At 54.3% G+C, this 14,809-nt stretch overlaps 1 protein-coding gene and 1 long non-coding RNA gene across 3 annotated transcripts, besides 1 other annotated feature; one reads left to right on the top strand and one right to left on the bottom strand.

The window, feature by feature from the left end:
- Window positions 624-3,020, bottom strand: LOC105376910 (uncharacterized). Its single transcript, XR_001737948.2, has 2 exons — window positions 1,233-3,020; window positions 624-921 (listed from the first exon to the last, which is right to left on the bottom strand). It is a non-coding gene; the product is annotated as an uncharacterized LOC105376910 (long non-coding RNA).
- Window positions 5,160-14,026, top strand: SLC30A2 (solute carrier family 30 member 2). 2 transcript variants are annotated; one of them, NM_001004434.3, is made up of 8 exons: window positions 5,160-5,431; window positions 6,061-6,281; window positions 6,834-6,980; window positions 7,727-7,880; window positions 8,570-8,729; window positions 9,473-9,578; window positions 11,367-11,501; window positions 11,973-14,026. In NM_001004434.3, exons 1-8 carry the CDS (start codon window positions 5,382-5,384, stop codon window positions 12,116-12,118), a joined length of 1,119 nt encoding a protein of 372 aa, NP_001004434.1. In that variant the 5' UTR covers window positions 5,160-5,381; the 3' UTR covers window positions 12,119-14,026. The 2 variants fall into 2 exon arrangements, with proteins under 2 accessions (NP_001004434.1, NP_115902.1); NM_032513.5 differs by lacking the exon at window positions 6,834-6,980.
- Window positions 5,561-6,129: an enhancer, noted in NCBI's record as "H3K27ac-H3K4me1 hESC enhancer chr1:26371640-26372208 (GRCh37/hg19 assembly coordinates)". NCBI's record gives its function as "activates a minimal SCP1, AML or CMV promoter by ChIP-STARR-seq in naive H9 embryonic stem cells {active_cell/tissue: H9 hESC(naive)}" and the evidence as "EXISTENCE:reporter gene assay evidence [ECO:0000049][PMID:30033119]".

Raw genomic sequence — 14,809 nt, 5'->3', positions numbered from 1 at the left:
TTTCCTGGAGATGAGGGTTGAGTGTGAATGAACAGGACCCCTGGTAGGAGGCAATGGCAGGGCTAGGCTTAGGTCCCAGTAAAGGAGTTCTCGACACCACCATTTCCCAATGTGGACTCCATGGAAAGCCAGCCCTGAGCTGGTCCTTCAAGAACAGGTTCAATGTGTTGTTGCTCTGGTTCTCCAGAAAACAGAGCCTGAGGCAAAATTTAAATGCTTTAGTTGCAGGTTATAGGGACTTCCCCGTGCTCACTGAAGGCTCACTGAAGGCTCACTGAAAATCATCAAGAAGAGGCAGATTAAGGCTGGGCAGGTGCAGTGGTTCATGCCTGTAATCCCAGCACTTTGGGAGGACAAGGAGGGCAGATCATCTGAGGTCAGGAGTTCCAGACCAGCCCGACCAACATGGTGAAGCCCCGTCTCTACTAAAAATACAAAATTAGTTGGGCGTGGTGGCGCATGCCTGCAATCCTAGCTACTTGGGAGGCTGAGGCATGAGAATTGCTTGAACCCAGGAGGCGGAGGTTGTAGTGAGCCAAGATCGCACCACTGCACTCCAGCCTGGGCAACAAGAGTGAAACTCCGTCTCAAAAAAAAAAAAAAAAAAAAAAGAGGCAGATTAATAGGAGAAAAGGCAAACAAATACACAAATTTATTTGACCATGGTTTTATGAGATACAAGAACCTTCAGAATGAACACCCAAAGATACAGGAGAAACTGTCCATTTTTAGGCTTCAGTTCAACAAAGTATGGATGGCCGTGTAGAAATACGGTTGGACAAAAGAGCCTGATCTAATGCTGATAGACTGAGTGGGGAACCCAGCGAGGCCTGTCTGTCAAGATTCTTTTCGGCCTCTCTGCGCAGCATTCCTTCCTTCCTCATATGGCGCAGGACTCTCTCTGGATGGGGGTCTTCTGACCTACAATCAGACAAAGGTCAAATAATTTCCTATGGCCAATTTTACACAGAAAGAAAGAGGAAAGTTAGAGTAATATTTTTAGGTTTTAGGGCAGGCTTTTGGTGAAGAGGGATTGTAGTTTTTATAGCTAGCCTTGGGGGAGAATAAGGGACCAGAGACAGGAGGGCAGGAGAAGGTCAGAGAGAAATGTTTGCTTCCGAGGGAGGCCTTCATTTCGGGGTATTGTTTTCTGAGACCCTATGAGGCACACTCCCAAGGCCAACAGAGGGAAGGAAAATGGAAGCGAGGCAGGCAAGGAGGGAAGCAAGTACAAGGTGTCACGTGGCTGAGCTGGCCACAGCTTCACCAAAGACTGGGCTGGCTGCTTAGTCATGTGAGATGTTTCCAGCAGGCCATAAAGAACAGAACATGATTCAAAGTCCTTCATCTAGAGAAGAAAAAAAAAAAGAAATGTGTCTGCTGGCTCCTTCCTGTCTCCCGCCTCCCATACTGTTCATTCCACCTTGACTTCAGGTGGTGCAGGTGCAGGGGCAGCAAGGTCACCTGCCCCATTGGGTGGTACTTCAGCTGAGTCTGGAGATGGTGGGAGGTGCCAGGGCCTCCATGGTCCAGTTGGGTTGGACAAGGGTGGGGCAGCTGCTGTCTCCACCTCAGTGAACACAATGGGGCCAGGCTGGTGCCCAGACTCACGCCAGGAAAGGCCAAGTCAGCCACCGGCAGTAGGGGATGAATTCATGACTGTGGCCCAGTAGCATCCAGGATCTCCATGAGCAAGAAGCCAAGGGCCTGGAGAGAGGCAAGGCTGAGCGAATCCGAGGCAGCGCATTCACCGGGGCTGATACACCAGAGACTTACAACTTTGAGGAGCATTGCAGAGCCTGTTCCCCCTTTTAGACATTCAGATCACAGTAGCAAATTAAGGGGTCCGAGTCGTCCCACCGTAAAGAAAGCGAATTAACTTTAGATGAGGACCATCAAGTTCATGGTGCTTGGAATGCTGCCTGACCCTAAGTCTTTCATTTTGTGTGTGTGGACTGAATTTCCCAACTTATTCATATGACATCCTCCGGAACTAGAGTTATGTGGAACTTGCTTTAGGACAGTGCTCAAAAACCCTCACAACCTCTGCCCATTTTCACTTCTGGGAGTTTGGTAGGTTTTCTAAGGCTAACTCAGTTCCTAACTTTGAATTTCAAAGAATCAGATTTTGCTCTCATTTCCAGTCCTTTCTCAAGTTCTGAAGCATTTTGTTTTAGTTTTTAAAACACGGTGTAATACACACACACACACCCTTAAAAGTGCACAAAACTCATCGTAGAGTTTAATAACCTATTGTAAAATGAAACCTTATGTTACTACCACTCAGGTGAAAAAAAAAAAAGAACATTGCCAGCCCTCAGAAGCCCTCCATGTGCCCCTCTACCACATCACAGCTCCTCTTTCTGATTGGGGCAGCGGAAAGAGGAGCGGTCAATTTTTTTGTTTTTTTGACAATCACATACTTGTTTTTCTTTATGGTTTGGTCTCCTAAAGTATCCTCCCATAGAAAACTGAAGGGATTTGAGTCCAGAAGGAGAAATTTGAGGCCAGAAAGAGAGAGGTTTTCATCACCTTGAAATCACAAGAATCAGTATTATAACGTGTGTATGTTCTGTTACTTCTCCAGGCTACTGATCATGTAAGCAGCAAGCATTTCAGCCCCGTATCTTGTCACTTATGGAAGAGAAGAGAGAGCAGTTGAGACTTTGGGTAATCAGTTAAAGATTAAATTCCAGGAAGATACCTGTTAATTGCAACTAAGGGGATCTTTCCTTTGCCATAGGAAGGGCTCTTCCTGTACTTGCAAACTAGAACCCTTAAGATGGTATGAAGGGTTCTTGATCAACATGCTTCCTTTAAAATCATGCTGCAAGAGAGGACAGCTGGCTTCAAGGGGGTTCTTTCAATGAATCTTGAATACAGCTCCATGGGCTGCTACATCAGAATTGCCAGGAAAGGTTTATTTTTCCCCAAGTCTTTAATTCTGAAACTTTTTTTTTTTTTTTTTTTAGACAGAGTTTCACTCTTGATTGCCCACGCTGGAGTGCAATGGCATGATCTCGGCTCACTGCAACCTCTACCTCCCGGGTTCAAGTGATTCTCCTGCCTCAGAATTCTGAGTAGCTGGGATTACAGGCGCCTGCCACCATGCCTGGCTAATTTTCTTATTTTTAGTAGAGACGAGGTTTTGCCATGTTGACCAGGCTGGTCTCGAACTCTTGACCTCAGGTGATCCGCCTGCCTCAGCCTCCCAAAGTGCTGGGATTATAGGCGTGAGCCGCCGCACCCAGCCAACATTTTTTAAATACTGAAAAGTAGAGGGAATAGTTATAGTGTACCCCATTTACCCATCACTCAGTTTCAACAGCTGGTGACATATTTATTTCTTCTATACCAGTACCGTACTCTCCCCACTGGGATTATTTTAAGGCAAAACCCAGATGACATTTTATCCCTAAATACTTTAGATAAAGGTGTTCTTTGAAAAAAATCATAACCTCAGGACCAGCCTGGCCAACATGGTGAAACCCTGTCTGTACTAAAAATACAAAAATTAGCTTGGCATGGTCGTGGGCACCTGTAATCCCAGCTACTCAGGAAGCTGAGGCAGGAGAATCACTTGAATCCGGGAAGCAGAGATTGCAGTGAGCTGAGATTGCAGTCGAGCCTGGGCGACAGAGACAGAAATGAAACTCTGTCTCAAAAACAAACAAACAAAAAAACCACTATACATAAAAATGAACAATGATGCCACAATAGCACCAGAGAATTTTATAAATACAGATTCCCAGGCCCTGCCCCAGACCTACTGAATCCTGGAAATATTCAGGCTCCACACCCAGAGATTCTGGTTCGGTTGGTCTGATGCAGGGACCTGTAACCTGCGTTGTAACACCTTCTCCAGGTAATGCTGAGCCTGCTGGTGCTCAGAGTAGACAGACCTGGAGAAAACCAGGGTGTCTGAGGTTTTCCAGAAGAAAACCAGAGTCCAGAGAAGCAGAGAGGCACTCAGTGAGGACCCAAGCAGAGCGGGTGCACCTCACATCCTCACTCCTGGCACCCCGTCTCCTACAAGATGAGAGACTGAAAGAGCCCCTTCCTGTCCCCAGTGGTGTGGGCAAGAGGCCTGCACCTCTGACTCTTGGCTCTGTGAAAGGCCATACCCACCAAGCCTATGGTCCTAGCGACAAAGGGTGCTGGGGAGACGAATTGACCAGACAGGGAGGTCTCCAGCAGCTTCTTTCTACACAGAGGGCACCTGTCAGAGGCCAGCGTGGGGGCCACAGGCTCCCCAATCCCCAAGAACCGCCAGGGAAGGAGGCTGCTTCAAGTGGGTGGGGCACCAAGCTGGCCAGGAAGGACAGGGCTTCTCCCAGCGGTACCAACACGGTGGCACCTCCGGCCTGCATCTCCCAGGCTTGCTTGTCAGGCTTCCTGGGGCTCCCAGGAGCCGCTGCGGGGGAGGGGAGAAGGGGTGGCAGCAGTGGCAGTGGTCGTCTCTGCTCCGATGGTGACTGCCGATGACACTGTTCTCTGTGCGGGTGGAGACAAAGCCGGCCACTCCAGATTCTCCTGCGCGCAGGAGAGGAGGAGCTGGCGCTGCTTCAGTGGCGAGGATGGGTCGATCAGTCCCAGCCGGTCCTAGGGAGAGACACTGCCCCAGCCTGAGGGCGGCGCAGCCCACCCCACCCCAGGACCCTCCTAGCAGGAGGACAGGAACGCAAGCCGACCTCGGGGGGTCTCCGGCCTGAGAGGGGAACATGATCAAGCCCAGGGCAGCCGCCAGTCGGAGGGGGCAGACGCGGCCCCAGTAGCCTCTGGAGACCCTCTTCCGAGGCAAGGAGCCACATTCCTGCCGTCGGGACCACCAAAGCGGATTTCTACAAACTAAAGTCGAGAACTTTTCGGCGGCGAGGCGGCGCACCCCGCGCGGGAGAGGGGGCGCAGGCGTCACCCCGTCCTCACTCAGCAACACCCGGCGCCGCGCCGGGCGAAGGCTGGCAAACTTCTCGCGGCCGGCAGGTGGGCTCCGCGGGCCCCATGGGCGCAGGCACAGGTGTGCGGGGCCACAGCCGGGCCTTTTGCAGCCGGCGACCGCCCCCCCTTCCCCGCGGGCTTTTGCACACGACGCGCCGACGGCAGCTTCACACGGGTTGGCGAGGGCCGGATAAAGCCGGCGGCCGCGGGGCGCAGCGGCTGACCCGAGACACGGGAGCGCTTGGCACGCGGAGCCAGAGCCGGAGCTGCAGCCGCAGCGGGAGCCGGGGGAGCTCAGGGGCCGCAGGAGCCGGGCCGGAGTGAGCGCACCTCGCGGGGCCCTCGGGGCAGGTGGGTGAGCGCCACCCGGAGTCCCGCGCGCAACTTTCAGGGCGCACTCGGCGGGGCGGCTGCGCGGCTGCCGGGACTCGGCGCGGGACTGCATGGAGGCCAAGGAGAAGCAGCATCTGTTGGACGCCAGGCCGGCAATCCGGTAAGGCGAGAGCCTGGGGACGGGCGGGAATTTTGGCGGCAGCCGACGCACCTCCGCATTTGCCATCCTAGCAGTGGTTGGTTTTGGCTGCGGCTTGAGCTGGGACCATGCAGGAGGGGTGGGGTGAGGTGAGGGAACGAAGATAATGGGCTGTGGCCCAAGGACCGTCTCTCCCTTGGGGCGCAGCCCAGATTCTGACCCCTGCCCGCGGGGGGCCTGGGGCCGGGGGATTGGCGGTTCCCATGCCTGGAGTCCCGCCCCGCCCAGCACTTTGCCCCAGGCAGCCCCGCCCCGGGGAGGCCCTGTGTCCCAAGTGCGCTGGAGGGGGCCTGCTGTTCTCCCAGAGCCTGCGCTCTGTTCCTTCCCCGCGCTCCACTGGACAGCACGCCCCTTGGCCGGTTCCCAGGGTCTTCACCTCCTCTGGCCTCTGAAGGGCCCCGGGCCCCAGGACTCCCATTCCCCTATCATCCCCGTCTGAATACAGGCTTCTCACCTCTGGTTTGTCGAGCTCGGAGCGTCCTTAGCTATTTTTCCCAGTGGACACAAGGCCTCACAGAGAAATGGGACTAGAGTCGGCCCTCCTTACCTCATCTCAGAGCTGAGCGTTCCCTCTCTTCCCCTCTGGCCAGGTCATACACGGGATCTCTGTGGCAGGAAGGGGCTGGCTGGATTCCTCTGCCCCGACCTGGCCTGGACTTGCAGGCCATTGAGCTGGCTGCCCAGAGCAACCATCACTGCCATGCTCAGAAGGGTCCTGACAGTCACTGTGACCCCAAGAAGGGGAAGGCCCAGCGCCAGCTGTATGTAGCCTCTGCCATCTGCCTGTTGTTCATGATCGGAGAAGTCGTTGGTAAGCACTTTTGGGCTAATTAAATGAAGTTGGTGCATGGATAGACTGGATGTTCCCAGCAATACTGACACTAAAAGCCCCAATTACTGAACACACACTACAGTAAGCCTTTATATACACATTATCTGATGCAGGTCTAACAACAACCTGTGTTCTCACATGGGTGACGTTATTCTCCTTACTTTACAGATGATGAAACTGAGGCATGTTCAGGTGAAGTAACTTGCCAAAGATCACGCACAACTCGTAGCTAAGGGAAGGCCTGAATTCCTAGAAGGGAAGAGCATTTACTGAGTATCTGCTATGTTTTCCAGTCCCTATTTGAACTTGATGTGCACATTCACCCTCTAAGTAGATATTGGTGGCCCATTTCACAGAGAGTGGAAGTTGAGGCTCAGAGAGAGTAGGTCACTTGTCACGGTGGTACAGCTCATGGGTAGAGAGATCTTGAGCCCAGAATGTCCTCTTCCAGAGCCTGTGGTCTCCCTGCTGCACACACAGTCTTGGGAGCCAGCTCTCTGGGGGAGCTGATAAGGACCCTCCACCCTGCAGGTGGGTACCTGGCACACAGCTTGGCTGTCATGACTGACGCAGCACACCTGCTCACTGACTTTGCCAGCATGCTCATCAGCCTCTTCTCCCTCTGGATGTCCTCCCGGCCAGCCACCAAGACCATGAACTTTGGCTGGCAGAGAGCTGGTGAGGATCGCGGTTTGGCTGGAGATGGGGTTGAGAGAGAGGGTGGGTTAGAACAGGGGTTCTTAGGTGGCTGTAATGGGTGGATCCCCCCTTCCTCCCCTGAGTGAGGCCAGGAGGGTGATCTGGATGGGGGAAGAGGATGTCAACCATGGCCTCTGTCCTCTGGGAAATCCTAGTCTGATGGGGGAGCCCTGGTCCCAGTCATCCAGGAGCTCTCAGTCTGCAGGGAAGCAAAGTTGACCTTCCTAAGAAGTGCAGTAGCCAAGCTTCAAGAACAAATGACAATGGCATTAACACTGCACATAACTCTGTGGATCAGCTCTGGGGGGAGGGGAAGGCCAGCAAAGGCTGCTGGAAGATATAGGCTTTAACCTCTCTTCCGTTCACCCTGGACTGCATCGTCACCTTCCTCTTTGTGGGAGATGGCCCAGCCTGTCTTCCCCAGAAGCCTCAGTTTACTAGCTGAACAAAAGGCACATACTTTAATAAGTCAGCTTCTTTACATGTACAACCAAAAAGGTGGACTCAGATGATGACTTATTAGTTCCTTCTAGCTCTTACATTCCTAGATATATGAGGGGTGGGGTAAGGGGCAGCCATACCGGCCATACCTTCAGCAGAGCCCAGTGGGACCCAGGCCCTGACTTTGTGTGGGAGGTGGGTGGGGAGGATCCTGAAGGAAGGGGGAAGACTCCTTAGCTCCAGGCCCATGCCAAGGTGGGTGTTGGGGTTGGGTTCTTCCTCAGAGATCTTGGGAGCCCTGGTCTCTGTACTGTCCATCTGGGTCGTGACGGGGGTACTGGTGTACCTGGCTGTGGAGCGGCTGATCTCTGGGGACTATGAAATTGACGGGGGGACCATGCTGATCACGTCGGGCTGCGCTGTGGCTGTGAACATCATGTGAGTGGGGCCCCAGTTTCCCTCGTCTCCCCTCCTCCTCCCGCCTCTCACACCCACACCTATGTCTGCTTTGCGGAAAGAGACTGTGCCACTTTCCAGCATACGCTACAGGGACAGAACTTCCCTAATGGTCTGAGCTCTGGCACCTGGAACACCTGGGTCCTACCTTAGGCCTAGGCCAAGAACACTGGGAGCTGTAAATCGGAGTCTTCATCCACTCTACCCACTCCCTGATACATGTCAGGGACTAGCCTTGGTGGCTTCATACCTGAAGTGGGGCGGGAAGAGGCCAGTTGTTGCAGGAGTAGCTGTCCCTAGGGGCAGAACCCAAGTCTGAAATTGGTCTCAGTTAGAGACAATGGGTGTCTCTTTCGGGGTCTTTGTTCAGAGGCCTCAGTTTCCCCATCTGTGACATGATGGAGTGAACTGACAGTGACCTCCCTAATGCCCTCCTGCTCTGAGATTTGACACTGTGGCATTGTTGTGCCCAGGCTCAGCCTGGCATTGGCGCTGGGCCCTATCTCTCATGGCTGTCTGAACCAAGGCCACGTGGGTTGGACTTCTCACATGGCCAAAGAGATCACAAGGTTTAGGGGCTTGAGATTTTTGCCCTACAAGTTGGCTAGTCCTAATAGGTGACCTCCATCTGCGACCTCAGTGAGCCCTTGGCTTTGTCTCCACTTCCATAGAATGGGGTTGACCCTTCACCAGTCTGGCCATGGGCACAGCCACGGCACCACCAACCAGCAGGAGGAGAACCCCAGCGTCCGAGCTGCCTTCATCCATGTGATCGGCGACTTTATGCAGAGCATGGGTGTCCTAGTGGCAGCCTATATTTTATACTTCAAGGTCAGAGCTGGGACACAGGGTGGTGGGGGTGGCAGGGGAGTGTAGACCACCTGAGTATACTCTCTACCGGGGTTTCTTTTCAGATTCTAGCTCCCTCCCAGTTCTAGGGAAAAGGGTGGGGAGAGGAAAGGAACATTTATCCAATACCTACCAAGTGTCAGCACTTCTGATCCTCACAACAACCTGAAGGGTAGGTGGTAGTGTTTTCTGTAGCTCAGAAAGGTTCAGTGACTTGCACAGTGTCACACAGCCGGTAAAGCATAGAGCCAGATTCAAGCCTACGACTGTGTGTTGTCAAACCCTGGGCAATGCCCATCACATAGAGGCAGGGAGCTGTAGTGGAAAGAGGCAGGCATTTGCTCTGAAGCTTGGCTCTCCTCCTTGCTAGCCATGTGACATTGGATGAGTTTGCTTGCTCTAATGGAGCCTCAATTTCCCCATCTGTCAAATGGGGACGGATGGCGGATCAGATGGTATCTAAGATGCCTTTTTGCTCTGTCCATGTCTCAGCTCCTTGAGAAGGAGGGGTGGGAAGGGACTGCCTTATTCTGAACTGTGGTCTGTCCTTTCTGCTCTTGCAGATGTGAAATAAAGAGCAGAAAACTGGGAGGCAGGGCCAGGGCGAGGCTCATGCCCACCCAGCAGAGAGAGCACCTCTCCCCAGCAGTGCTGGGTGGGAGGGGAGAAGGGAAGCTGAGGTGTTAGATGGTGAACTCCAGGTCTGCCTTCCTGTCTTCCTGCAGCCAGAATACAAGTATGTAGACCCCATCTGCACCTTCGTCTTCTCCATCCTGGTCCTGGGGACAACCTTGACCATCCTGAGAGATGTGATCCTGGTGTTGATGGAAGGTAACCTGGGCTTTGTGGCTCCCTTTTTGCTCTTGGCTCTCAAGCGCTAATCAGCTCAAATAGGGTATGTGTGTGTCTGGGGCATCCTAGCACATGGGCGGGGAGCCAGGATCCGGAGCCCCGGCATAGGCTGGAAAACCTCCTGGGGCCCCTGGGCTGATCTTGACATAGAGCCTGGGCTTTCAGGTGTGGCAGTTCCTGGAACCGTCCCCCAGCCCGAGTCTTCCCTTCCCCCTACCCCTAAGGGTGCCTCCTCTGCCTAGTCAGGTGGCTTCTGGGGGACATCTGTAGCATCTGGAGCTCTCCAGCCCTCCCCTATACACTTCCCCAGGCTCTGGCTGCCTTCTCTCAGGAAGAGAGAGGGGGTGAGGATTATGCTTCTCATTGCACAGAGGGGCAGACTGAGGCTCAGAGAAGGACAGTCAGCCTTGGACAAAGCTACTGAATCCACTGCAGCGCAGGCCTTTCCTACATCTCAGGGACCAAACAATGCCACACCCTGTGGGGACATGGCTGTGCTTTGTGGGGTTGGAGAACGGTCAGTGGTGGAGAATGATCTGGTCTGCCCTGAATTACCTTTTTTTTTTCTTTTTTCTTTTTTTTGAAACAGGGTCTTGCTCTGTCATCCAAGCTAGAGTGCAGTGGTGCCACCAAGGCTCACCGCAGCCTTGACCTCCTAGGCTCAAGTAATCCTCCTGCCTCAGCCTCCCAAGTAGCTGGGACCACAGGCGCATGCCACCATGTCTGGCTAACTTTTAAATGTTTGTAGAGATGGGGGGGGGGTCTCACTATGTTGCCCTGGCTGGTCTCGAACTTTTGGGCTCAAGCAATCATCTCACTTCGGCCTCTCAAAGTGCTGGAGTTACAGATGTGAGCCACCACACCTGGCCCTGCACCTTGGCTTTCTTATGCTCTAGGCCTGGGGTCTTGGGCCAGGGTCATAGGCCTCTGCGTGGTCAGGGTCAGTCTGGAATGGAGTAGGATGCTGGCCTGGGCTTAGCAGTATTTGGCTGCAGGTCAGAGCTTTTTCTCCAAGAATATGCTAACCCAGATGAAAGCGATAATGATGAAGATGATGATCGTGCCCTGGGTGGGTCCAAGGATTCTCAGGATCTGTTCTTTCCTTCTTTCCATTCAAAAATATATTTATTGGCCAGGTGCGGTGGCTCACACCTGTAATCCCAGCACTGTGGGAGGCCGAGGCAGGCAGATTACCTGAGGTCAGGAGTTCAAGACCAGCCTGGCTAACACAGTGAAACCCTGTCTCTACCAAAAATACAAAAATTAGCCGGGCGTGGTGGCATGCGCCTGTAGTCCCAGCTACTCAGGAGGCTGAGGCAGGATAATTGCTTGAACCAGGGAGGCAGAGGTTGCAGTGAGCCAAGATCACGCCACTGCACTCCAGCCTGGGTGACAGAGCAAGATTCCGTCTCAAAAAAAACCAAAAAATATATTTATTGAGCACCTACTATGGAGTAGGTGCTGTTTTAGGCACCAAGGATACTGTGGTAATCAAAGGAGACTGTCCTGCCCTCATGGAGTGTCCATTTTAGAGGGAGAAACTGACAATAAGTACATTCATAAATAATTTCAGTGTTAAGAGTGGAGAGGAAATACAACAGAGTGATAGGGCAGAGACCTTGGGAGGTGAAGGCAGCCTCAGACCTGCAGGCCAAAGAGGTCTTCTTTGAGGGGATGACACCTGAGGATCAGGAGCCAGCCCTGCACCAATGGGCAGGCGTGGGAGGGGTAGTTTCCTTTAGTTTCCCCTGTCCTTGCCGTCCTCAGGGACCCCCAAGGGCGTTGACTTCACAGCTGTTCGTGATCTGCTGCTGTCGGTGGAGGGGGTAGAAGCCCTGCACAGCCTGCATATCTGGGCACTGACGGTGGCCCAGCCTGTTCTGTCTGTCCACATCGCCATTGGTGAGTGCTTGGGACACTCAGGGTGGGGTGGGAGACAGGCAGCCAAAGGCCTAGTGCCATCCCCAACGGGTCCAGGTGACCCCAGATGCTCACAGTGCCCATGCATCAAGCCCAGCCTCATGCTGAGTACTTGATACGCATTATTCCATCTGATCAGCACAATCTCATTTATCCATGAAGAAACTGAGGCTGGGGTTGGGTGGTAAAGTTACTTGCCCAGGCTTTTACAGCTAGTATATGGCAGTAGGTGGCAGATTCCTGGCCTTAAGGCCAGTGCTTTACCAGCTCTTTCAGGCATGAGCCAGGTCTGGGCTGGGAGGCTACCTGGCAGAGGAATGGAATCTGGGGGCTTCTCCATGTTCATGGTCCCCCATCCTGTTCTGCTGGGGATGGGGTATGAGATTTGGGCTCCTGATGGTTCCAAAGGGCCAGAGTAAATGGCTTCCCCCGCTGTGTCCTCTCGGCCCCCAGCTCAGAATACAGACGCCCAGGCTGTGCTGAAGACAGCCAGCAGCCGCCTCCAAGGGAAGTTCCACTTCCACACCGTGACCATCCAGATCGAGGACTACTCGGAGGACATGAAGGACTGTCAGGCATGCCAGGGCCCCTCAGACTGACTGCTCAGCCAGGCACCAACTGGGGCATGAACAGGACCTGCAGGTGGCTGGACTGAGTGTCCCCCAGGCCCAGCCAGGACTTTGCCTACCCCAGCTGTGTTGTAAACCAGGTCCCCCTCCTGACCTCTGCCCCACTCCAGGAATGGAGCTCTTCCCAGCCTCCCATCTGACTACAGCCAGGGTGGGGACTCAGCGGGTATAAAGCTAGTGTGACCCTGCTCTTCCAGCTCCTGGGCCAGCTCTGGAAGGGCTGTATTTGGGCCTAATCCTCAGCAAATGTTCTACCACTCGCAGGGGCAAAGGTGGTGAGCCACGGGACGTCCAAGGGGAGGCTGGCCCCAGCGCGCCCATACTGCCTGCCTCATGCCCCATTCTCAGCCTGGCTGGCCTTTGCCTTTATGAATCTGAGCCCCTCCATCTGCCTATAGCAATAGGCACGGGGGTGAGGACCCTCACACTCTCATTTGAGCCTCCCTGAGGCAGGGAGCCAGGAGGCACCTGAGGCCTATCTGTGCCTTAGTCACTTCAGCTATGAGCCAAATGTTCCCTTTCCTGGAGGGGAGAGGCTTCTTACTAGGTAAGAGACAGGTTTCCTCTTTCCTTATTTCCTCAGCTGTGCCAACACAAAAAACAACTTTGGCACAGGTGGTGGGCAGGGGGTAGAGAGATTTCAGCTTGGGTTCTGCACTAACAGCCTCCAAGCCCCCTGGCACTTCTGTTGCCCTGAGAGTGTCCCAGGGGATTCAGAGTCTCCAGAAAGATATGGCTGGGCCAACTCTGTTGCCTACCTGGCCTGACCCAGTCGGAGCCTGACATGGTGGAGGGAAAGGGAGACAAGTGGGGCTGCACTCGGTCCAGAGGCCAGCTAGGAGGGAAACCGCAGCTTCCTGGGGCTTGTGTGTGAAGATTCCTGACTTAGGGGTGGCTTTTGTTTACAAGATGCAAGAGGGGAAACCTGTCCCCGACTCATCGAGACAACATGCCCAGTTATCAGGGAGTCCTGTGTCACAAGGTCTGTCTCTGCCATTGTAAGCAAGTGCCTTGGGCGAGCTGGCCTCTGCCCCACAGTCTCATCTGTACACCGACAGGGTTGATGCCTCCCTCACAGGGTTGAGAACAAGAGCCAGTTGGCCAAGTACCTGTGGTTGTTGAAGATTGGTTACTTTTACCATCCTGGGGACAGGGAACTCTGTGGCCCGAGGCTGCCTCACTGAGGAGTCAGGTGGGCTTCCCAGCCTCCCCAGGGGCAGTGCTGAGTTTGTCTTGACTGTTCTGGCCCAAGGTGGGAGGAGGTGGGTTTGGTCACTTGCCTCCCACTTTAAATCTCTGTCTTTCCATCTGTGAAATGACCTCTTTGTGCCTTCCCAGCACTGTCATCCTGATCGCCTGTGTTCTAGGTAGGTGGGTCCTTCAGCCCCTCCAGGTCTGTGAAAAGTCTGTGGAAAGCACTGGCCTGGAGAGGGGTGGGGGGTTGCTGGTGGGTGCTCCATTCCACCACAATCTCAGGGGACTCAACCTCCCCTACCCAACTCCCCACCCCCACCCAAGCCATGGCAGGCCCCAGGAACTTGATCCTGGGCTTTGCCGTATGCCAAGTCCTTACACCCCTCTCAAGAGACAGTCATTGGCTGGGCACGGTGGCTCATGCCTGCAATCCCAGCACCTTGGGAGGCTGAGGCAGGCAGATGACTTGAGGCCAGGAGTTCGAGACCAGCCTGGCCAATATGGCGAAACCTCATTTCTACTAAAAATACAAAAACTAGCCAGGCGTGGTGGCTTGTGCCTGTAATCCCAGCTACTCGGGAGGCTGAGGCAGGAGAATCGCTTGAACCGGGGAGGCAGAGGTTGCAGTGAGCTGAGATCACACCACTGCACTCCAGCCTGGGTGACAGAGCGAGACTCCAGCTTAAAAAAAAAAAAAAAAAAAAAAAAAGGAGACCATCACTGCTGTCCTGCATTCTTACAGATGAAAAAACAGGCTCAGAGGTTGAATCGTTTTCCTGAAGTCAGACAGCCAGTGCAGGCAGGTCTGGGATTTCTGCCTCATTTCGGTAGACCTTCCTCTACAGCAGGGTCTGGGGGCCTGTCGGTCTGCGCTGCCTGTTGGTACAATACAAACCCCTGGGACCAGCAGTGCCCGGCCCATGGGTGAGGACATGCCAAGGCAGTTCAGTGTCCTGGGTGTCACAGCTGTGATTGGAAAGGTGCCTCTTTCACCTGGCTGGGCCTGGCATCCAGCGCCCTCCCCACCCTGGGAAGGCTGCCTGGGCCCCAGCTGTATGCTTTCCCACCCACCCTCAGTTCTTGACTCCGGGCCGGACTGCCTCTCCCCCACCTCTTTAATTTCCAGTCCGCCCTGTACCTCAAGCATCTCACAGCACCACGCCTCCCAAGGGTAACCCACTCTGCCACTCAGCTGTGACTGGCTCTAGGGAGGACCTGAGTCATCCAGGGGCCCGCCGAGGTCAAGCTGGGGGGTGGGGGTGGAAGGCCTTGGAGAGGCCTAAGGGGACAGTATGTTCCTGCCAGTGAGACAGTCACGGGAGTTTCCAGAGCTGCCAGGCCATCAAAGCAGGAAAACACCTGACACCCTGGACCTGGGCTGGACCCACCACCCTCACCCTCTGGAGTCGCACGCGCTCCCAGGCGAGCCCTGAGCCCTGAGCCCCTCCCTCGAGCAGCTGCTGTAAG

The sequence above is a fragment of the Homo sapiens genome, chromosome 1 (genome assembly GCF_000001405.40).
Source record: "Homo sapiens chromosome 1, GRCh38.p14 Primary Assembly".
NCBI classification, from domain to species: domain Eukaryota; kingdom Metazoa; phylum Chordata; class Mammalia; order Primates; family Hominidae; genus Homo; species Homo sapiens.
This window is presented reverse-complemented; position numbering and strand designations above follow the sequence as displayed.